This window comes from Homo sapiens, chromosome 17, assembly GCF_000001405.40.
Source record: "Homo sapiens chromosome 17, GRCh38.p14 Primary Assembly".
Classification (NCBI taxonomy): Eukaryota; Metazoa; Chordata; class Mammalia; order Primates; family Hominidae; genus Homo; species Homo sapiens.
In genome coordinates, this window is record NC_000017.11 from 35,585,636 (window position 1) to 35,609,396 (window position 23,761).

A 23,761-nucleotide genomic window follows, 5' to 3' on the forward strand; every position below is an offset into this window, starting at 1 on the left:
AAGGAATGGAAAATAAAACAAATATAAAGAAGATAACATTTGTAATCAGCACCCAGAGGGAACCACTAATAGGTATATATACTCCTCTGGATTTAGAGTTTTGTATCTTTTTTTTTTTCTTATTTCAAAGCATTTTTCTGTATCATATTTTTCAACAATATGATTTAAAAGGCACATCCCAACATAGAAATAAATACATGTTCATTGTAGAACACTTTGAAAAATACAGAAAAATATTAGGAAGAAAAATAAAACTCTCACTATCCTGCAATAACCACTTTTAACGTTCTGCTGAATATCCAAGCTTTTTTTTTTTTTTTTTCTTTTGAGATGAGTCTGGCTTTGTTACTCAGGCTGGAGTGCAGTGGCGAGATCTGGGCTCATTGCAACCTCTACCTCCTGGGATCAAGCCATTCTCCTGCCTCAGCCGCCTGAGTAGCCGGGATTATAGGCGTGTGCCACCACCCCCAGCTAATTTTTGTTTTTTCAGTAGAGACAGGGTTTCACCACATTGGCCAGGCTGGTCTCAAACTCCCGACATCAGGTGATCCACCCACCTCAGCCTCCTAAAGGGCTGGGATTGCAGGTGTAAGCCACCACGCCTGGCCTATCCTAGCCTTTTTTTTCTATACATATATAGTCATACTGTATACTGTATTGTTTGGTGTCCTTTTTTTGCTTAACACTTTATGAATTTTCTGTCATAAAATATTCTATAACATTATGCAGCTATCTGATTTACCATAACTGTTTGCATTCTCTCACCTTATACCTGGCTTTCTAATTTCCCCTATTCCCCTATTTTAATAACAGAGGAAATAATAATACATGAGTATGTTATACAAAATTTTAATGTACTTCTGATCACTTTTTTAAGAATGAAGTTTTAAAATACTGAAACACTTTTTGACTCACAGAGTTCATAGGCAAAATGTGAGAAAAATCATCACTTTGCTCTCCATCCTTCCTTACACCCTGAAATTAACCTTAGGGACAGCTAGTTCATTTAACATCATCAATCTTGTTCTCCAGTTCCAGGTCCTGGAATCTAGCTCTTAGTGTCCGAAAGAAACTTACTTTTGTGTAAGCACACCTATTATATACTAGGCACTTTACCTAATTTATCTGGTTTAAACTTCACATGCCCGAGAGAGATACTATCATTGTCTTCATTTCACAGATAAGAAGGTTGATGAGACATTAACTGTCTCAGTCACATTCAGGGTAGGGATTCAAACTCACATCCAATGCCTCCTCAACCTCTTTTACGTGCAGCACTATCCTCTAGCCCCACTGCCCGTATATAGGCCTGGGCTATATCACCATTGTCCGCCCTTGAGCCTGGAAGGAAAATGAGCTGAGGGGTTTTGTTTTTTCAGAAAGGAACAGGATATTTCATCATCTCTATGTTTACGTTTTTCAGAGAATTTCTGTGCGAGGAAACAAATCCATTGTCAGCTTTTTAAAATATATCCCTTTGGAGTAGCCACTTAACATCCTCTGAGGCCCAGATGGGCTAGCTTGCCGGGACCAAAGGAAATCTTTGGGTCTGGAAGGCGACAAGAGATCACAGGCTTTCTAGGTCTACCGCGCACCCCGATGACGTCACGCGGCGACGTTCTCTGACGTCAGAGTTTCCTGCCCACCATCTTTGTCCCTGGCAAAGTGGGTTTTGCGCAGTGGCTTAGACCTAGAAAAGAATCGTGACGGGCAGGAAACCATTACACCACCACCTGGGCTGTGCTCTCCGGCTCCCGCCGCCACCCCCGCCCTCGCCTTCGCCTCCGCCTCCGGTGAGTTCAGGGCGGTTGCCTTTAGGGTGTGTCCCTAATTGACGGGGTCGGGGACGGAGAGAAGGGTAACACCAGGCTGGGTCGGAGACCGGCGGAGGCGAGGAAATCCTAAGAGCGTGACCGTTGATGATGCAGGGAACCGTCGGGTGTGACCATTGAGAGGGAAAAGGTTGGAGAAAGGGTCTCTACCATGATGCCTGTGGTGCGGTGAGGGAATCCTCGGGTGTGGCAGCAGGTAGTTGGGGGCAGGAGGGGAAGATGTGTTTCGGAATTGAGGGTTTAGGGGGACCAGAGGCCAGGGGTGTGGCTGATAGAGCCTGGAGGCCGTGGGGGGAACCGTCTTTCTTCCCCGCTCGGCGTCGTTCACTGAGAGGCTGAGACGTGTCCAGCAAGCCAAAGGGAAAAGGGATTCCCTCAAAGGTTTGCTCATTGATGGGCGAACGTCGTCTCTCGGGTAACTTGAGGGTAAGAGACAACCTCTTCCCTGCTCCGTAATGGAGGAGCATATCGCTAGAATCTTGACCACCTGGGGAAAGAAGAGGCATTCCTTACTCTTGGAGGAAGGAAAGAGTAACCTCCAGAATTGACCCGATGTAAGAGAGGGGGAAGCAAATGGGGGCAAATCTTAACCCAGCATCTTTTTTTTTTTTTTCTTTTTCTGGGCTCTGCAGTAATGGTCTGGTTTGGGAAAGGCTGTAGATTAAGCTGAAAGTAAAGAAACTGGAACGTCCTGTTATTTCCTTATCATTTGAATCCAAATCATTTGTTCATGCTGCTTGTTTTCAAGAGTAGTCTTCTATTGGAGGGGTGGGGTGGGGGGGGACAGGCCTTTATTGAACTCACGCGGATGCTTCATTAAACTTTTGACTTTTATTTTATTTTATTTTTGTATTTTTAGTGACAGGGTCTTACTGTGTAGCCCAGTCTGGTCTCGAACTCCTGGGCCCAAGCGATCCTCCCGCTTCGGCCTCCTAAAGTTTTGTGATTACAGGCGTGAGCCAGCGCGCCCAGCCAAACTTGACTTTTGAGAAGAAAAAATGTTTTGAAAACTGCCAAAGACTTATCATAACCATTGTGGTTTAAAAGAAAGTAAATGCATTAAGCTTAGAAAGGCAGAATGACTAAGAAAGAAGGTGGTCTCAATGAGAATCAATTTAAATGATTAGTTACCTTCCTTGTATACTTCAATTGCTTAGCCTCAGGGTACACTTACAAAGTAGTAATAGAAAGCAGCAGATGAAGGAGGTGCAGCTCTATAAGAAAACGTGTTAAGACATTCCAGTGATGACTAAGCGTGCTGGTAAGGTGAGAACTGTTTGCAGTATCTTAGCCGTTGAAACTTTCAAGGAAGCAGAAAGGATGATGTATAATGCAAACATCCTCACTAAAAGCTGGGTGGTAAAATCAATATAAATCTAATATTCTGACTGTGTATGAAGAAACTCAAGGAAGTCCAGTTCTTTCATTCTTTCTTTCCTTAAAAGATCCATATTTTGAAATACTAACTTTTTAGGCACAGGTTTGAACGAAGCTGAGCAAGGAATATATTAAATAGGGCACGTTCTCCTTTCTCTTGTCCTTTCTTTCCTTCTAGCCTTAGGTTTTCCAGAGTTTAATGTTATTTTGGTTAAGAATTAGATGTAAAACTTTTGAACTCCTTTGCTTCGTTATAATATTAAGAAGCTACTTTGTAGTCTGTTATGTTTAAATAGAAATCACAGGTGATTTTAGCTTTTGTGTCTCATAATTTCTTATGAGCAAGGTAATACCTGATGATGCTATTGTCTTTGCATTATTACTGAATATTTGATTAGAAATGAATTTGGCACCTCTCACCTTTATAATAAAAGATTACTGGAATGACATTTCTGCTTTATAATTTGGTTAACTTTGGCCAGTTTTTCACTATGAGCACTGAGCTTTGTAAAGTCCCACTTTGTGAAAAGAAGGGTTTAGTGACTTTACAAACTAATTTAGCTTCCCAGAGAGCCATTTGAATTAAGACCCTATTAATTTTTTTCTGACCTTATTCTACCCAAGGTATTAATCTTATTTTGCTGCTCAGTTTCTCTTTTGGGGAACTGGAGGGAGATATAGGAGAGGAGGGACTTTGACAACCTATATTTGGTAGAAACTAGGTTATGTTAAATCTGGATATATAGTCCTGTGCAGGGAGGCCTTCTCCGAAATGCAGTGACATCACACTCTGGTCGAGGGCAAGTAAGAGTGATTATGTGCTTTGACTCTGGCAGCTTTGTTGTTTAACAGTGGCCTTAGGCCATACCGTAAATCCTCAGAACAGCCGTTACTTGTCTGGTTTGATCTGGTAGAAAGGTAGTGTGAGTTCAAATTCCATCATGGCTTTGCTTATTTCTCTGGCTCTTCTGAAGGAACATTTTCTCCCCCCATAGGAGCAGCTTGATTTTTGAGGCACTTCAGCAAATATTAGATTTTTTTTTTCTTTAGCTCTATTTTGTTTACTTTTTCTGTAACTTCTTTTTTTTTTTTTTTTTTTGAGACGGAGTCTCACTCTTTCGCCCAGGCTGGAGTGCAGTGGCGCGATCTCGGCTCACTGCAAGCTCTGCCTCCTGGGTTCACACCATTCTCCTGTCTCAGCTTCCCGAGTAGCTGGGACTACAGGCGCCCGCCACACGCCTGGCTAATTTTTTGTATTTTTAGTAGAGACAGGGTTTCACCGTGTTAGCCAGGATGGTCTCGATCTCCTGACCTTGTGATCCGCCCGCCTCCCAAAGTGCTGGGATTACAGGCGTGAGCCACCGCGACCGGCTGTAACTTCTAATGAAGACGTCAGTTTTTGCCATCCTGTATTTTGGAGACTCTGGCTATGTCCATATCTAGCATGTGATTAAGTGTATCTCTCATTATATGAGGTGAGAACTCATTATATGAGAGATACACTGAATCATATATATATGTGATTTTTTTTTGAGGTGAAATTCACGTACCATAAAATTAACCAGGTTAAGGCATACAGTTCAGTGGCATTTAGTACACTGACAGTGTTGTGCAACAATCATGTCTTCTGATTTGTTTTTATTTACACTATTTTCATTTTTCTTGGAGTTTCTTTTGGCTTAAGGCAAGAACCAGCTTGGCACCATGTTTCTCTGCCAATATGGTTAGGGAATATTTTGTTACTATTGTTTACAATATGGTTACTAGAGTGATATCCCTTCTCTTTAGAGCAGCAGGGACTCTTAATTTAGAATCTATCTTATAGGCTTCTAAAGATACTTGACCCTCCTCTCTTCCCTGAAATTTTGTGGGTGGGTGCATTATTTTCTAGTTAAGACAAGAACACTTAATGCTCACAGTGAACAGGATAGTAATATATTCCTTGACATTGAAATTGTTAGGGGAGATAATGAAATATGTGAGCTACTGATAAAGGTATGACTTAAGACTTAGGTTAATTTATTGTTTAATAGAATGTAGTGAAAATGCCTGTTAAGAATTTACTCATGCCTGTAATCCCAGCACTTTGGGAGGCCGAGGTGGATGGATAACTTGATGTCAGGAGTTCCAGACCAGCCTGGCTAACAAGGAAAAACCCTGTCTCTACTAAAATACAAAAATTAGCTGGGCGTGGTAGTGGGTGCCTGTAGTCCCAGCTACTCTGAAGGCTAAGGCAGGAGAATCACTTGAACCTGGGAGGCAAAGGTTGGAGTGAGCCCAAATTGAACCACTGCACTGGAGCCTGGGCCACAGTGAGATTTTGTCTCAAAAAAAAAAAAAAAAAAAAAAGAATTTAATGGGCTGGGCACGGTGATCCCAACATGTAGTCCCAGCTACTCGGGAGGCTGAGGCAGGAGGATTGCTTGAGCCCAGAAGGCAGATGTTGCAGTGAGTCCCAGCTGGGACTACAGGCATGTGCTACCATGCCCGGCTAATTTTTGTATTTTTATTAGAGACGGAGTTTCGCCACGTTCCCCAGACTGGTCTCGATCTCCTGAGCTCAAGCCATCCGCACGCCTCGTCCTCCCAAAGTGTTGGGATTACAGGCGTGAGCCACCGTGCCTGGCCAAAAAAAATTTAATATGTGTATGTATAAGAGGCTTTTCAGAGAAATTGGGTGACAAATTCTAAGGAGGTTTTGTTTTAAAATCTTAAACAAGTTTTAAAGGACATAGCATAGCATAGTAAATATCCTAGACAGATTGTAATGGATTTGAGCTATAGTCCTTCTTTGAGGCTCAAGTAATCGTTTCTGTTTACTGGTTTTTCTGTTTGTATATATACATTCATAAATAACTTCAGATTTATTCCAGGTCTTTTATGTGAAGAATTCCTTTCTTCATTTGCCCACTTCACATTTAGTTTACATTATGAATGGACTAAATGATTATAACATTCTTTGAATTTTTGCTAGAAACACATTGTAAAAACATTGCATAAGGCAAGCTTCAGTATAATTTTTAATTATAACAAGTATTAAAGGAGAAATTTCTATATTCTGTAATGATATTTGTGAGTCCTAGCTCACTTCTTTTAACAAGATCATTCTGTGAATTTCTGGTACAATCTAAAGAGCTATTAGGATCAAGACTATAAATAGTAATTAGCTGGTTGGAAAGATAGCAAATGAGTCTAATTTCCATTAAACTGTACAAGTAGCACGTTTTAGAGATCAGATTTGAACCAGAAGTTTTTCATTATTTTATGTTTATCTGGCTCTTTTTTCTTTTCTTTAATTACATTGATTTGTTTGGTGCTTAGGTCTTTTCTCCTAGATCCATATTTACTATTGTTTGCCAAATACATTATGTCATATTGACCTGATAATAATGAGCAGGTGCCAGCATGTCTTGTCCTGAAGTTGGTGATAAGTATTATTAGTGATGGTGATAAGGAAAAAGATACTCATTTTGAGTACAGAAGGAATATTATTAAAAAATATATGTATATTTATATATTTTTTTCCCCTTGAGACAAGGTCTCTGTCGCTGAGGCTGGAGTGCAGTGGTGAGATCATAGCTCCCTGTAGCCTTGATCTCCTAAGCTCAAGCGATCCACACACCTCAGCCTCCCAAGTAGCTGAGACTACAGGTACATGCCACCATGCCTGAGCCACCGCGCCTGGCCCAAATTCCTATTTATTTATTTATTTATTTGAGATGGACTTTTGCTCTGTTGCCCAGGCTGGAGTGCAGTGGCGTGATCTCGGCTTACTGCAGCTTCCGCCTCCCAGGTCCAAGCGATTCTCCTGCCTCAGCCTCCCAAGTAGCTGGGATTAAAGGCACGTGCCACCATGCCCAGCTAAATTTTGTATTTTTAGCAGAGACAGGATTTCACCATGTTGGCGAGGCTGGTCTTGAACTCCTGACCTCAAGTGATCCACCCGGCAGCCTCACAAAGTGCTGGGATTACAGGCGTGAGCTACTGTGCCTGGCCCCAAAATTTTAATATATTTAAAGAAGTCTGGTACATTGGACAAAGTCTTATAGTTTCTCAAATCAGAAAAAGTAGTCTTATTATTTAGTAAAAATGTGACCAGACTGTGCCGTTTTTGTTAGTAGAGCCATTTGTCATCTGGATTACTTCTTCTGGAAATTGGGATGGAAGAGTTAAGGTTGAGGTTGAGATCCACGTTCTTTTGTTTCAACACCAGTTTGATTCTCGTGTCTGAACGGATGTCTCAGTCTTTTGCCTTGTTTTTAACTATAAACTGGCATTATTTGGGAATACTCTTGGGCTAAATCTGGATTGTTGGAAGTAAGAAAGCCACATTTTTTTTTAAATCCAAAAATATAGTTAGATACAATGAATAAGATCTAGTATTTGATAGCACAAAAGGGTGACTGCGGTCAACAATAATTTACTGTACATTTAAAAATAACTAAAAGAATGTAATTGAATTGTTTATAATACAAAGAAAGGATAAATGCTTGAGGTGATGGATATCCCATTTACACTAATGTAATTATTATGCATTGTCTGCCTGTTATCAAAATATCTCATGTACCTATACGCACCTACTAAATACCCACAAAACTAAAAATTAAAAAAATTCCATGCATAAGTCATGGTTGCCTCTCTAGATGTTTGTTGTGAAAGAATATTGTCCTACTAATTTTGAATTTTTTTTTTCTGAAAGAGATTCTTTTTATTGAAAGTTTCATGTCATAGATCGGCAAAATTGTTTTTTCTTTTGACCTTACACTGCTTCAGAATATATGTTTTGGAGTGATTCCAGCTTGAGGCAAGGAAGTTACCAGATTTTCCTGAATGGAAAGTAATTGCAGATATATTTATAAAAAGGTCCAGCTTTAGCTCTTGAAAGCTTTGAGGAGTTACTGTGGATAAAATCACAAAGCCATAATAGGTTCATACTTTTACCCAGTTGCATTTGGCCTTTAGATTTTTGCCCCATTAGCTTGAGGAGTTACATTCTTAGTTTTTCTTGAACCATCAACGGTGGTGATAAAGGAAGATGATACTCATTTTTAGAAATTCTTAAATATAAGTGTTCCTAAAATTAATTGGATGTTCTTAAAATTAATTGGATGCCTTGTTGGATATCTATAACCTGAATGAAGGAATTCTTTTCTCTTGCTATAGGTGCACATTAAAGATCCAAAGTCATGACTGACTCCAAGTATTTCACAACCAATAAAAAAGGTAAGTATGAGAATACAATCAAATCTTTTGAAATTTTCAAAAGTTGTAGTGTAAGATTGCCCCAGGCAGAATGCTGCTGACCTCTTCCTTCAGACATACATGTAGCTGACAATCTCACTGGACATCTACTACTTCTATAGATGAATGTATTCAAGCAAGTTATTAAAGAGTAGGTTTTAAAAGAGAGGGCTGTGATGCACATTATTATGACTTGAAGGTTCTGTTTAGTGAAAGAGACTCCTCTTTGCTGTTTGAGATGATCCATTGGAGATTGGTTAAGTGTGAGGAGGACAAAAGAAGCAGCATACTTTTTCCCTTTTATTAAATAATTTTTACTTGGAAATAAACATTTTATAACAAAGAATACAATTAAAGCAATACAGATATGTATGTAAAAGGTAAAAATGAAAGTTCTCCCTTCCTGTTCCTATTCCCAAGGGAACTTGGTGTATATCCTCAAGTCTTTTTCTCTGCATATGAGTGCATATATTAATACATATGATTTAAAATTTTTTTATCTTTAATGAAAAAGCAATCTTGCAAAACAATGAATAGAAATGAGTTATTTTCATATCCGTCCATATACATCTACCATGTTCTTCGTCTAGATGTATATTTAAAACGGAATCTCTAGAGCCATCTATGGTTTTTAGGTCATAGACGGAATTACTTGAGGGACTTTGCACTTATTACTCTCATCATCTTTGTTATCAGTAATATAATGCTTGTTTTTACCTATGAGTTTGGGTCTAGGAACAAAGGATTCTTCTGGGGAAAGTCCAACCCTTCATCTTTTGTAAAATTGTTCCTAAATAAAATAGATCATTTCTAGAAATGTGGAGGGTCTTCCCATCAAAGACAAACATTTTAGCCCATCTCAGCTTATTGTGCCTGTAGCTTAGCTTGCTTTATTTGTTGCTTAGGATCAGAATTCTGTGCTTTTGTGTTCAGGAGTCCTTACATTTACCAAAGTATTCCAGACATGGCGCCAACTACCATTCTTCTTTTTCTCTTGTTGCAGTGAGTTGCTTAATTATGTCAGTTTGTTGTCTGTAGCTTTCAGTCTTGGCAACACATCAGAATTGCTCAGCCAGGGAACTTTGAAATAATACTGATGCCTGGGTCTCAACCTCAGCCTGATTTCAGTTGTCCTGGATATGGTCTGGGTGTGAGGATTTTAAAGGTTCTCCAGGTGGCCAGGCATGGTGGCTTATGCCTGTAATCCCAGCACATTGGGAGGCTGAGACAGGAGGATTGTTTGAGTGCAGGAGTTTGAGACCAGCCTGGGCAACATGGTAAGACCCTATCTCTATGAAAAAAAATTTAAAAATTAGCCCTGTACGGTGGTGCACACCTGTAGTCCCAGCTATTTGGGAGGCTGAGGTGGGAGGATCACTTGAGTGCAGGAGGTTGAGGCTGCAGTGAGTCGTGATTGTGCCGCTGTACCCCAGCCTAGGCAACAGAGAGAGACCCTGTCTCAAAAGAAAAAAATTAAAAAGAAAGCTCCCCAGATTATTTTAATGTGCAGCCATGATTGAGAACTACTGCTAGCTGCTAACAGTGCTTGGTAGATTTGATTGGGGGGAGGAGGAGGGAGAAAATATAGGAATTTAATAAAGTTGTAGAATATATGACTTTGCCTCTTTTAGTACCCCTCTTTGGTCCTGCCCAACTTTTTCCTCCTTATTTTTATTACTTACACCTCACAAAAGCCATTAGCCACTTGTCATTCAGTCTCAGCTTTTTCTGATTTTCTTTTGGAAATATGTTTATTTCTTCTTCTGTTAGCATTTTGTGTGCTTTGACGAACAAAATGTCTATAATTATATAAAGGGATACAATTACAATTAAATAGTTATAATTTTAAAACTCTCCTAATTCTTCAAACCTACTCTTGAAAAGTGTCCTGGTGACCTTTTTTTAATTCAGGCATTTGTAAAAGTTTGAGACTGCAGATTGAATCACTGCTAATAAACATCATACTTAAAAAAAATTGATAGATTGTGTTCCCTGTACTTCCTGCAACACCCACCAGAACTGCCACTGAAACATATTCTTTAAATTTATGCTTTTGGAATTGGAATAATTTCTGTTACATCCTGCTTTGATTCTATAACACCTGCTGCTGTTCACAATTCAGACTTTCTGAAACCCCGCCGTTTGTCCTTCACTGTTCCCGGAAGTGAATGAGAGGAACTCTAAGAGCTGGATTTGGCAGGATGGGACATGGTGAAGAGTCCTATGAAGAATGACTCTTTAAAGGGCCCAGCTTTTCTTGCTATGCTACTTTTGTAGCTGTTGATTAAATAGAAATTTTGGAACAATTTTTTTGCCTTATTGGCCATGGATATTGAAACGAAAAAGTGCTCTACTTCTGTGTCTTACTAATTTCATCCTTTCCACATAATGGTTTCAGGCAAATCACGTAGTGTTTGTCCCCACTATTTCTTTCTTTTTTTTTTTTTTGGAGGAGGGGAGGTCAGGTTTTAATGTCCCAGTCCTCGGGCGCCGTCATCCCGCGCCTGCCAGGCCCGGCGGCCATGTCGCTCACTCGGGTGGCGGCCAGCCTGCCTCATCAGGGCCTTCCGCGGAGGCCGCCCCGTCGCCCTCGAGCACCAGCTTCACGTCCAGCTCCAGCTGCCCGGTGTAGAAGCCCACGGCGGCGCACACCCAGAGCGGGCTGGTGGCGAGTACAGCGCCCGCAGCTGCGCCCCCTAGCGTCAGCTGCATGGGCCCCCGCAGCGCTGCCAGGCCCCGCAGGCGCTGCCCCACACCGCACACAGGCCGCCCAGCAGGAAGAAGCCATATGCTGCTTCGTGATCCATGTCACTCTGCATGAAGGAGATAACCCCGATGCCCTATGCCAGGAGGCCATTGTGGAACCAGGAGAAGAAAGCTGTCTCGTGCGCCTTTCGGAGAGGAGCCTGGCGCCTGCACGGTCCAGCTCGGACACAGGTGGCGGCGAAGCCCCGTTGTGGGGGCCGTGGCCGGGGGCGAAGGACCCCTGGGCGCCCCCGCTCCGGGGCCACTGAGGCAGCAGTAGCGACCTCCGGAAGCGGAGACTGTCCCCACTGTTTCTATGCTGGTAAATGAGATCTGGTTGAAAGGAACGACAGGAACAGTCTTGAAGGTGGAGGAAAGTCTTTTGAGGCAGTATGGTAGATGAGCTGGAGGATGTAGATGGAAAGTTGAGATGGGAGTAGTCAACCTCTTTTTCATGGACTTAGTGTTTTTTTTCCGTTTCTTTTAAACAATATTAGGGTTGTTACTTTCTTTTTTATTTTGGTTCCGGCTTCTTGCAGATAGGTGAGCCTGGAGACCAGGCCTTAAAATAGTGGTTACAGTCCCTGACAGTTTACAGTGCGGAGCCTAAGCAGTCATTCAAGATTGTACCTTTGGAAATGACTCCATTGTGTACCATTCTTGGTTTCAAGATTATTCTTGTTTGATTGAATAGCAAGGGCCTTAAAGCCCACTGATTTATTAAAGTACTGATTAAAGTAGTGATTCTCAACATTGGGTGTGCGTTAGAGTCACTTGGTGGAGCTCTTAAAGGTATAAATATGAGTTCTCTTTGACATTATGATTTATTTGGCCCAGAGTGGAGCCTGTACTTTGCTATATTTAGTATTTCTCAGGTAATATTAGTGTGTGGCCAGGGCTGAGAACCTTTGCATTCAAGAGTCAGGAGACACAGTGCTAAGCCCAACTTTGTCACTGACTCTGTGAACTTTGAGCCTCATTTCTTAATCTGTAAAGCCGAGCGTGGGTAAATGAGGTAATACGCGCCTGCTCCCTACCTACGTTTATGTTCTCCTCCAGACTTTAACATTCTGATGGAAGATCATCCTTCATATACTGTTCTCTCCCCATTGTAGCTAGATATAATGAGATTTGGTTTTTCCCACTCTTGTGGTTCTTGAAGATCTGGATTGCACCTTCCTCTCTGGCCATAATTTAAAAGATTTTTAAAACTTACTGATGGCTTCCTTGTCAGTGAGTCAGGTAATATTCTAGGGCTTTGAATTTTATATATTCTATAATTTTAAAATCTTATTTTAGTTGCTGCCCTGCTATCCTGGTATTGGTTATTACATAGTGTAGTATTCTGCTCTAAGTCTGTGGTACTGGAACCTTACCAGTTTGCTCTCATCTCTTGCAGGAGAAATATTTGAACTAAAAGCTGAACTCAACAATGAAAAGAAAGAAAAGAGAAAGGAGGCTGTGAAGAAAGTGATTGCTGCTATGACCGTGGGGAAGGATGTTAGGTAAGAGTAATCACCCTTGCCATTGATCACTTCAGAGGTCCATACCCCATCTTATGGCCTTTACTGCTTTTCCTTTAAAAGTATCATAATCATAGAACCTCTAAGAATGGGTTTGTCCCACTAAAAACATCATTAGGAAGTGCAGTTGCCTTTGTATTAATGCTCTACTTTTTGTTTGTTTGTTTGTTATGGGGTGTGTGTGTGTTTGTGTTAGAACAGTGAAACGAGTTTGATTTCATTGCATTCAGATCTAGCATAACACCTCCTGAGAGCTGGCACAGTTACAAATCTTTTTGCTGAGGTCGTTTTAGAAGATGATAAAAATACACTGAGAAGCATAAGTTCACATGATCTTTAACTGGCTCAAGCCACTGCCCTCAACTTTACAACTGTACATTCAATTGCTGGATTCAAGATGAAAATCAATGTTAACCAAATCCATGTAGTCTTATTTTTTATTTCTGTAATTAAGACCATTTGGAAATAAGTAAGGACTATATGCAGGCCCCTAAGGATTATCCTAAGACCCTTTCGGGGGGTCCGTGAGGTCAAAGCTGTTTTCATAATAATACTTAGATGTTACTTGCCTTTTTCACTATTTGGATGTTTACAGTGATGGTGCAAAGCAGTGGTGGGTAAAACTGCTGGTGCCTCAGCATGAATGAAGGCAGTGGTGCCAACCATAATGGTAGTCATTGTATTCCTTAACACCATGTGCTAAAAAAGAGCAGTTTCACTTAGGAATGTCCTTCATGAGCAGTAAAAATTTGTTTTATTAAAACTTGAACCTTTTTAATATTGTGTTTGATGAAATAGGGATTACCCATAAATCTCTTCTGCTGCGTAGCAGTGCAATGGTCGACTTGAGAAAAAACCCTTGTGCAGTTGTTTGAACTGCAAACACCATTTTTATGTGAAAGAATGATTGACAGACAAACTATATTTAATCAGACTTTGGTATTTGGGAGATATTTTATTCAAAAATGAACAAAGTGAACCTGTCACTTCAAGGGAAAAAAATTGACAATGGATACGTTTCAGGTTTTAAAGTAAAAAATTAGAATTTTGGAAAATTTGTATCTCCCATCATAAGCTTGACAGCTTCCTAATGCTTAAAGACTTTTCTGAGGAGATTGGTGGTGAAATTAATGATTGTGATTATTTGCTGTTTTATAATGAAATGTGTCAGCATAGCTCAGTGAACCAATATTTTTCCAAATGACCAGAGCATATGTATATCACAAAATTATGCATGGATAAAAGATCTATTCGAAATAAAGTGTGGAGGCCAGGCGTGGTGGCTCACGGTTGTGATCCCAGTATTTTGGGAGGCCGAGGCAGGCGGATCACTTGAGGGCAGGAGTTCGAGACTAGGCTAGCCAACATGGTGAAATTCTGTCTCTACTAAAAAAAAATACAAAAAAATTAGCCGGGCATGGTGGCATGTGCCTGTAATCCCAGCTACTCTAGAGGCTGAGGCAGTAGAATTGCTTGAACTCAGGAGGCGGAGGTTGCAGTGAGCCAGGATTGTGCCACTGCACTCCAGCTTAGGCAACAGAGTAAGACTCTGTCTCAAAAATCAAAAAACAAAAAAACAAAATAGAATGTAAATGAATGGATTTTAATACAATCAAGTACAAAAAGTTTATCGATACGGCTTCAGATTCTATATTGCAACTAACTTTTAAGAAACTACAGTGTGTGGACTCAGAAAGAGGAAAACAACCATTTGTCTAGTTTTATTTATTTATCATTATTTTTTTTGAGACAGAGTCTTACTCTGTCACCCATACTGGAGTGTAGTGACGTTATCTTGGCTCACTGCAACCTCCGCCTCCCAGGCTCAAGCGGTTCTCCTGCCTCAGCCTCCCAAGTAGCTGGGATTACAGGCGTGCACCACTACCACCCGGCTAATTTTTGTATTTTTAGTAGAGACGGGGTTTCACCATGTTGGCCAGGCTGGTCTCGAACTCCTGACCTCAAATGATCTACCTGCCTTGGCCTCACAAAACTGCTGGGATTACAGGCATGAGCCACTGTTCCCGGGCTGTCTAGTTTTAGTGTAACATCAAGAATTTCTAGTTATAACAAAAAAAAAAAGAAAATAAGGAATATGTAGTTATATGAAAAAGCTATTAAAATATTATTTCCTTTTCCGAGTTATATACGTGTATGAAGCTGGATTTTCTTCTTATATTTCAAAACAACATTCTACAAAAGGTTGAATGCAGGAACTTATGAGAATCTAGCTGTTTTTATTTCAAGTAGATATTAAAGAGAGTTGCAAAAAAATAAAAAAGCAGTGTCACCATCTCATTAATTTAAAAACAGTACATTTTACCTTTAAAATGTTATGAAATGGGTTTATTCTTATTTTAATGGATTAACTTTTTAAAAATTTCTCAGTTTTAATTCCTGACATGGTAAAATATCAATAGGTATATAACCCACATGAACAAAAACTCTTTGGGATGTCAGTAATTTTTAAGAGTATGAAGGGATCCCGAGACCAAAAAGGTGAGGGCTGCTTCCCTAACCAGACGGGGAGCCCAGATAGAAATGGCAGCGTAGGAAATGACTCTGTATCTTCTCTTGCTCCAGGTGCTGCTCTTCTGAGGTGAATTTTTGTTATTTTTCTTTTGTTTGTTAGCACATAAAGCACATTTGGTTTTTAAATTGCTGTCCTGTGACCATCTATCTAAGGAGTTGGCAAACGTTTTTGTAAAGGACAAAATAGTAAGTACATCAGGCTGGCATAGTAAGTACTCTTTGCTTAGCAGGCAAAGAGGCAAAATTGAGTTTGGTAGGTAGGTACTTACATAACAAGAGAGAAGACAAATTTCCACAAATTTTTTATTGAGGATATTCAAAATAAAATAATAGTTAAGTATAATGTTTTGTACCACAGGTATACTATTAAGTGGGATTCTTTTTGGGGGATGATAACATTTTGCGTAATTAGGATTCATAGTATTTTTCATCATCAGATTTGTTTTATTTATTTATTGTTTTGAGATGGAGTCTTGCTCCATCACTCAGGCTGGAGTGCAGTGGCGCAATCTCGGCCCACTGCAGCCTCTGCCTCCCGGGTTCAAGGGATTCTCCTGCCTCAGCCTCCTGAGTAGCTGGTACTGTATATGCACCTGCCATCACTCCTGGCTGACGCCAAGTGATCCGCCTGCCTTGGCCCCCCGAAGTGTTGGGATTACAGGCATGAGCCACCATGCCCGGCCAAGATTCATATAGATGAACACTTAGTTCATCTATAAAAACCACTTTTAGCTCATGGATTGTACAAAAATCCAGCATTGGGCTAGATTTAACCCACAGGCGGTAGTTGCCTATCTGTGATCTGTCTAGTCACTGAAGGGCTGTTTTTGCCAAAGAATAAATCTGGATTGAAAACATCAGTACAAACGAATTGGTAAAAATTGTCATAACTCTTTTTTTTTTTTTTTTGAGACCGAGTTTTGCTCTTGTTGCCCAGGCTGCAGCGCAATGGCGTGATCTTGGCTCACTGCAACCCCCGACTCCCGGGTTCAAGTGATTATCCTGCCTCTGTCTCCCGAGTAGCTGGGATTACAGGCATGTGCCACCACGCCCGGCTAATTTTGTATTTTTAGTAGAGATGGGGTTTCTGCATGTTGGTCAGGCTGGTCTCAAACTCCCGAAAAATTGTCATAACTCTACAGGGGCTGTTGTGGTTTTGCCAAGCTTATTTCTGTATCCTGCAGAAAAGTTAAAACTCTTGATTTTTTTTTATATGCTTGCTATTGCTGATACTTTATTATGTACTTAGCACTATACCACTTATCATTATTCAAACAAAAGGCTAGTGGATGTCTGTTTGCCTTCATGATTTTTACTGTCTAGTTGATGAAACCCAAAACTTGAAAAATTAGGGAAAAATAAAATATACTTATGTAATTAGGCACTGAAGTGTATATTTTAAAGGCAATACGAGTTCTACCAAAGAGAGATACAGGTTAACAGGAATAGTTGAAGAACCCTTCTTGGAGATGAAATATGAGCTGTACTTAGAAAGATAGTGCAAAGAAATAAAATGGAGATTAGCTATTTGTAGATTGTGATATTTCAGCCTTTCCTGCAAGTAACCTCAAGTGCAGCACTGGCCAGTGGAAATACAGTGTGAACCACATATGTAATTTTAAATTTTCTAATAGCCATTTTGAAAAAATGAAAAGGAACAGATGAATTAATTTTAGTAATACATTTTATTTGACCCAGTATATCTAAAATATCCTTTCAGTATGTAATCAACATAAAAATTATTAATGAGATATTTTACATTATATTTTTCATGCTAAGTCTTCAAAATCCAGTGTGTGTTTCACATTTACATCACATCTCAGTTCACACTCGCCACATTGTGTTTAGTAGTCACATGTGACTAGTGGCCACCATATTGGAAAGTTCAGGTTTCTAGTTTATAGGTTGGCACTTAACACTTTTTACTTCTTGCTTGATCTTTGGCTATTAAGTCTTCTTGACCTTGTGTAGATTGCTAGAATTAAACTATTTAGGATCTTGAATTTATTATTGGTTAATGTTTAACATTTACTGGTTATCGTTGTTTTGTGCATGAGCTAGTCTAGGAAATAGAAAACACATTTTTGGAGAGTATTTACTAAATATCTACAGGTGCATGAAACTACCGTAGGTACCATGCATACAAGTGAAACACATAGTTTGCTTTCCAGGACAGAAGTTACTGGTTCACTGGAGATATGGTGGATTCTTTGACCTGAGTCCAGCTTCCTTTCTGTGAATAATTTCTACTTCTGTACCCTTTTGTGTATATAGGACCATTGTATATACCCTGTGACCAGCTATTTCATTCCCTTTTTTCCCCTTATTTTCCTTGTGGAAATACACCTACATTTGTTTTTTCTTTCTTCTATGCTAGTAGCAAGATGTTTAGCAGTATTAAAAATGTATAAGGTACTTTGATAAAGCATTGTGGGGAAGATTTATTGCTAACTTCCCATAAAGTTACAGTTATCCTATATTGTAAAGATACAGCTTACACTTTAGAATCTGACAAGCTCAACCCTTCCAAGCTAATGGTGCTCCTTTAAATTTGTTTCCTGTGGCTTATAGGAGAATGGTAAATCATGAAATAACTAGAACTTAGGAAAGGTATAAACTCCTTTTATATTTGATTACTCTCAAATTTTCATTTGTCTGAATATGTAATGTTAAAAAAATAATTTCACTAAAAGGGAATCAGGACATCTTGGAGGATGACTGATTCTAGGTCTGGAATTAGAAATGTACAAAATGAGCCTGGATGGGGCATCTTGTCATAAAGGAAAGTATGGAAAATACCAGGTCATATCACAAGGATTCAGGAGCTCAGTTCCCACTGGTCAAGACTGGAAGAATATGAACTTTAAAAAGCGTAACTGAAGTGCTTTGAAACTGTAGTAGATGGATATGAAGAATTATTGTTCCTTTTGCCCTGTCGCACTCCTGAAAGCAAGATGATTCACCAGCAGCTCTACTGGAGCCACCCGCGAAAAGTCAGCCAGGGTTCTTGCTATTGTGTCTGCTGAAACTGGGCACAGTCTGATCTGGAAATTGAGCCTCGTTACATGCCACCAGTGTTTCCATCATACGTGAAGGATATAGATTTCATTAAGTTGGACTAAGTGATCTTCCACGAATGGATTATCTAAGGCACCCACCCAATGAGAGAAACCATGTTAGCTTTTTGTACATAAAATAAATATTTTAAAATAATTATTGTTATTTTTTATTTTTATTTTTGAGATGGGGTCTCTCTCTGTTCCTCAGGCTGGTGTGCAGTGGCATGTTCGTGGCTCACTGCAGCCTCCGCATCCCAGGCTCAAGTGATCCTCCCACCTCAGCTTCCTGAGTAGCTGGGACCACAGGCGCACACCACCATGCCTGGCTAATTTTTAAAATTATTTATAGAGACGAGGTCTCACTATGTTGCCCAGGCTGGTCTCACACTCCTAGGCTCAAGCAGTCCTCCCACCATGGCCTCGCAAAGTGCTTGGATTACAGACGTGAGCCACTGGGCCTGGCTTTTTTGTTTTTGTTTTTGTGTGTTTTTTTGAATGTGATAAAGGTAGTGGAAAAAAAAAAAGACACTTGCCTGTGCGTGGTGGCTCACATCTGTAATCCCAGAACTTTGGGAGGCCAAGGCAGGTGGATCACCTGAGGTCAGGAGTTCGGGACTAGCCTGGCTAACATGGTGAAACCCCATCTCTACTAAAAATATAAAAATTAGCCGGGAGTGGTGGCGCACGCCTGTAATCTCAGCTACTTAGGAGGCTGACACATTAGAATTGCTTGAACTGGGGAGGCAGTGGTTGCAGGAAGCAAAGATGGTGCCACTGAACTCCAGCCTGGGCGACAGAGTGAGACTCTGTCTCAAAAAGAAAAAAAAGGATTCTTAAGATACACATTAAAATATTATAGATGAAGCTGGGCACAGTGGCTTATGCATGTAATCCCAGCACTAGGATTAACATTTTTTCATAATAAAAAGCTTTTTCTAAAACTATAGAGACCTTGTTGAGAACAGCACTACAATTTTTTTCTTGTTTTTTTTGGATGGGGACAAGGTCTCACTCTGTCATCCAGGCTAGAGTGCAGTGACGTGATCATGGCTCACTGCAGTCTCGACCTCCTGCTTCAGCCTTCTGAGTAGCTAAGACTACAGGTGTGCACCACCACACCTAGCTTTTTAAAACAAATTTTTGTAGAGAGGATCTCGCCATGTTGTCCAGGCTGGCCTTGAACACCTGGTCTCAAGTGAATCCTTACACCCCAGCCTCCCAAAGTTCTGAGATTGCATACCTGAGCCACCATGTCTGGCCTACAGTTTCTTTTCTTTTCTTTTCTCTTTTCTTTTCTTTTTTTTTTTCCTTTTTTTTTTAGACACAGGAGTCTCGCTCTTGTTGCCCAGGCTGGAGTGCAATGGTGTGATCTCAGCTCACCGCAAACTCTGCCTCCCAGGTTCAAACGATTCTCCTGTCTCAGCCTCCTGAGTAGCTGGGATTACAGACATGCACCACCATGCCTGGCTAATTTTTTGTATTTTTAGTAGAGACGGGGTTTCTCCATGTTGGTCAGGCTAGTCTCAAACTCCCGACCTCAGGTGATCCGCCTGCCTTGGCCTCCCAGAGTGCTGGGATTATAGGCGTGAGCCACCGTGCCCAGCCAGTTTCTTTAGTAATTCATTTCTGTGACAGTTACCACTGTGGGGACATTTGTTCTTGCATCAAATCACTGTTAGTTAAGGCTATTCATGTTCTGTCCAACAGCTTGGCACCAACACCTGCTTACTTTCCTTTTCTCTTTTACCCTCTCTTCTCAGTTCTCTCTTTCCAGACGTAGTGAACTGTATGCAGACTGACAATCTGGAACTAAAGAAGCTTGTGTATCTCTACTTGATGAACTACGCCAAGAGTCAGCCAGACATGGCCATCATGGCTGTAAACAGCTTTGTGAAGGTAACTTTTCCCAAGGCCTCAATAACAGAGTTTGAATTGCAAATAAGTAACCTCTGTTCACAAGGAAGGAGTGTAGGGAAGTGTTGGCAATGACTAGGAATGTTCATGTTTTAAGCATTCTGTATACCAGTGTGTGTCATCCAGGGAAATTCAAACCATGTGCTGAGCTTTCTGTTAGTGGGGCTTGGTGCATCCTTGCCAGATGGGTAGAAGAAAACCTGGTGAAACCCCACTGTTTTACCTTCTGAGGCTGACAAAGGTGGGCATATCATTGTACTATCAGTAATTGGGGGCTTTACCTATTTTATCTTTGTAGAAATTATACTTATGAGTCAGCAGTAGTGGAGACTGCCGGAGTTTCTACTTTCATTTCATTTAATACGTCTTACATCATTTGATTAATTTTTTTTTTTTTTTGATACAGAGTCTCACTCTGTCACCGAGGCTGGAGTGCAGTGGCACGATCTTGGCTCACTGCAACCTCTGCCTCCCAGGTTCAAGTGATTCTCCTGCCTCAGTCTCCCAAGTAGCTGGGATTACAGGTGACCGTCACCATGCCCAGCTTATTTTTGTATTTTTAGTAGAGACAGGGTTTCACCATGTTGGTCAGGCTGATCTCGTGCTCCTAACTTCAAGTGATCCACCCACCTCAGCCTCACAAAGTGCTGGGGTTACGGACACAAGCCACCACTCCCGGCGTGATTAATTTTTTTTAATGGAAAATTTTAAACATATTCAAGAAAAAGGACTAGTATAATAAATTCCTAAATATCCGTCTTGCAGTTTTAACAGTTACCGACACATAACCACTCTTGTTTGTAATCCTCATACATATTTTCTGACCTCCAACCCCCTCTCCTGCTGGATAATTTTAAAGAAATCCTGAACATCATATATTAAATAGTTTTGTCTTTATATTTGTCAAGATAAGATCTTTTATTTAAACATAACCACAATATCATCATGTCTTTAAAAATGGACAAAATATTTTCTTATTATTGAATATCCAGTCAAATCTTTCCTATCATAGATTTAAAGAAAATAATAATGGGATCATTCCCATTAATTTTTTTTTTTTTTTGGTGACAGAATTTCACTCTTGTTGCCCGGGCTGGAGTGCAATGGCGCAATCTCAGCTCACCACAACCTCCGCCTCCCGGGCTCAAGTGATTCTCCTGCCTCATCCTCCCGAGTAGCTGGGATTACAGGCATGCACCACCACACCTGGCTAATTTTGTATATTTAGTAGAGATGGGGTTTCACCATATTGGCCAGGCTGGTCTCGAACTCCTGACCTCAGGTGATCCGCCCACCTTGGCCTCTCAAAGTGCTGGGATTACAGGCGTGAGCCACCATGTCCAGCCTAATATTTTTTTAATAGTTGTTTTTTCTCTGTTTGGAACTTAGTGTACATTTAAAAAAAACAGACAGCATTTCTAAAATTAGCTTCTATTTAAAATGTTTTGAAAAATAAGCAATATGCTTTCTTCTTTCTCATGAACTTTTTGTTCTTTTCCTGTGTTTAGCTACATTATAGAGTCAGAACGTAACAGTTTGTTCTCCATGACTGGTGGTTCATAGAGGGAATATATCATTGGGAAGAATTTAGTTTACATTTTTTGGAAGTTAGAGTTGTGCATAGATTTACATGGGCTTAAAGACATTTTTTTAGTGTAAGGCAGTTTAAAAGAGTGTTCTTTCTCCATATTCTATTTACTATATTTGGAAGCACTTGCTAGTAAAAGAGAATGTATGTTAGCCAAGAGCTCAGAGGGCCTTCTCTGCTGCTTAACTCCAGGTACTTATTTCAAGCCCAGACCAGCTCCTGTGCTCCCCTTTGTTTTCTTGGCTGCAGGCCACAGAAATCTAGCTCTCTTTTCTATTTGATGTTTAGGAACTCACTGTGGAGTAGGGCACGGTCTTTACAGCTCCTCTTTTTTTTTTTTTTTTTTTTCCTGTGCCGGAATACAAGCCCAAAAGCTTTTCCTGTTTTTAGGGTAGATCCTAATGGCTGTGGGATGGTACGAACTCCCTAAACCTCTGCCTGGCACTAGAGTGAATCCTGCTGAGCTGTTTCTCATTTTGTATTTAAAACAGTTAAATGACTTCTTCACCTAAACTCTTAAATAGGGCAGCTAAGATTTGTACTTAGGAAAGGAATAGCATGGAAGATTGGAGCTCATGTAGAATGTATCTGGAAGCTTAAATTAATGAGGTAATTCTTTTGCAGCTTACATAAACTGGACTGTTTACTTTTAGCCACCATGTATACCTACAGTTGTTGGTGATTGTTTTCTGCAGGACTGTGAAGATCCTAATCCTTTGATTCGAGCCTTGGCAGTCAGAACCATGGGGTGCATCCGGGTAGACAAAATTACAGAATATCTCTGTGAGCCGCTCCGCAAGTGCTTGAAGGATGAGGATCCCTATGTTCGGAAAACAGCAGCAGTCTGCGTGGCAAAACTCCATGATATCAATGCCCAAATGGTGGAAGATCAGGGATTTCTGGATTCTCTACGGGATCTCATAGCAGATTCAAATCCAATGGTAATAAGCTTCTGCTTTTACAAAGAGAGCAGTATTTAAAATGAGTCCCTTGTTAAAGCGTGTTTAATATGAACCTTGTCTTTGGAATACTGGGTTATGGGGTAGCTATGGGAAACATGACTTTGTGTGTCTCACAGATTGTATATTTCATATCCTAGGTGTTTTTGAGGTGAGAACCAAGTACTAAAATGCAGGGATCTTAAAGCAAATCTTTGTATTGTACTTATGCTCATATTTGCCCATATTGCCCATGATGAAAACTTTCATCATTTTCTTCAGGAGGTTTGGCCGTAAATTTATATATATTTAAGATTATTTTCTTCAGATCAATATTTGTGGTATTTTCTGGTGGTGTGGGACTAGAAACTGAATGAAAATGATCTTTATTACCTAATTATTATCATGCATTTCTCTATAGGGGAATTTCTAGGGCAAGATTATTTTTAGCCAACTTGGTTATGTTGTAAATGTTTAGCAGCCAGAACATAGCTTAACACCTTAAAGTTTTGGGACCTTTTCCTTATTGACATTTTAAACTTTGCTTATATAATGAAGAAGGTCAAGTCCCAAGTGATATGTTTGACTCCAGTAATAACTAAAGCTCATTTGAATTGGGTACTAATTGAATATATTGGATGGGTCATTAAATATTGTTGCCAGGAAGATGGAGGAAAATAGCCACTTTCTTTAAAGTGCTACCTTTTTGGTCTAATGCAATGTTTACTGAAAGGTGCATAACACTAAGAGTTAATCAGTGGATAACCTTTGAATATTCCCTTTTAAAAATTATTTATCTATCTATTTATTTATTTTTTACAGATAGGATCTTGCTCTGTGGCCAAGCTGGAGTGCAGTGGTGCAGTCATAGCTCACTGTAACTTTGAACTCCTGGGTTCAAGCACTCCTACCTCAGCCTCCTGAGCATCTAGGACTGCAGGCACATGCCACCACATCCCGCTAATTTTTTTTTTTTTTTTGAGACAGAGTCTTGCCTTGTCGCCCAGGCTGG

At 40.2% G+C, this 23,761-nt stretch overlaps 1 protein-coding gene and 1 pseudogene across 16 annotated transcripts in view, besides 4 other annotated features; one reads left to right on the forward strand and one right to left on the reverse strand.

The window, feature by feature from the left end:
- Positions 1,494-1,663: an enhancer, noted in NCBI's record as "active region_12077". NCBI's record gives its function as "activates an Ori minimal core promoter by ATAC-STARR-seq in GM12878 lymphoblastoid cells {active_cell/tissue: GM12878}" and the evidence as "EXISTENCE:reporter gene assay evidence [ECO:0000049][PMID:35858748]".
- Positions 1,633-2,832: an enhancer, noted in NCBI's record as "MED14-independent group 3 enhancer chr17:33914287-33915486 (GRCh37/hg19 assembly coordinates)". NCBI's record gives its function as "activates an origin of replication core promoter dependent on BRD2, BRD4, P300/CBP and CDK7 cofactors, and independent of MED14, by STARR-seq in HCT116 cells {active_cell/tissue: HCT116}" and the evidence as "EXISTENCE:reporter gene assay evidence [ECO:0000049][PMID:35650434]".
- AP2B1 (adaptor related protein complex 2 subunit beta 1) overlaps positions 1,687-23,761 on the forward strand; it is a 139,092-nt gene continuing 117,017 nt past the window's right edge. For 5 of the 16 annotated variants that reach the window (XM_011524450.3, XM_005257938.4, XM_047435509.1 and 2 more), the window contains exons 1-5: positions 1,687-2,028; positions 8,373-8,432; positions 12,595-12,700; positions 20,070-20,205; positions 22,507-22,752. In XM_011524450.3, the coding sequence (XP_011522752.1) occupies positions 8,396-8,432; positions 12,595-12,700; positions 20,070-20,205; positions 22,507-22,752 (525 nt within the window). In that variant the 5' untranslated portion in view covers positions 1,687-2,028; positions 8,373-8,395. Of the gene's footprint in view, positions 2,029-8,372; positions 8,433-12,594; positions 12,701-15,339; positions 15,437-20,069; positions 20,206-22,506; positions 22,753-23,761 lie in introns of those variants that run through there. The other 11 variants (XM_011524449.4, XM_005257937.5, XM_047435508.1 and 8 more) reach the window with 3 other exon arrangements.
- Positions 1,744-1,863: a silencer, noted in NCBI's record as "silent region_8439". NCBI's record gives its function as "represses an Ori minimal core promoter by ATAC-STARR-seq in GM12878 lymphoblastoid cells {active_cell/tissue: GM12878}" and the evidence as "EXISTENCE:reporter gene assay evidence [ECO:0000049][PMID:35858748]".
- Positions 2,094-2,203: an enhancer, noted in NCBI's record as "active region_12078". NCBI's record gives its function as "activates an Ori minimal core promoter by ATAC-STARR-seq in GM12878 lymphoblastoid cells {active_cell/tissue: GM12878}" and the evidence as "EXISTENCE:reporter gene assay evidence [ECO:0000049][PMID:35858748]".
- On the reverse strand, positions 10,898-11,495 carry LOC100420062 (transmembrane protein 160 pseudogene; annotated as a pseudogene).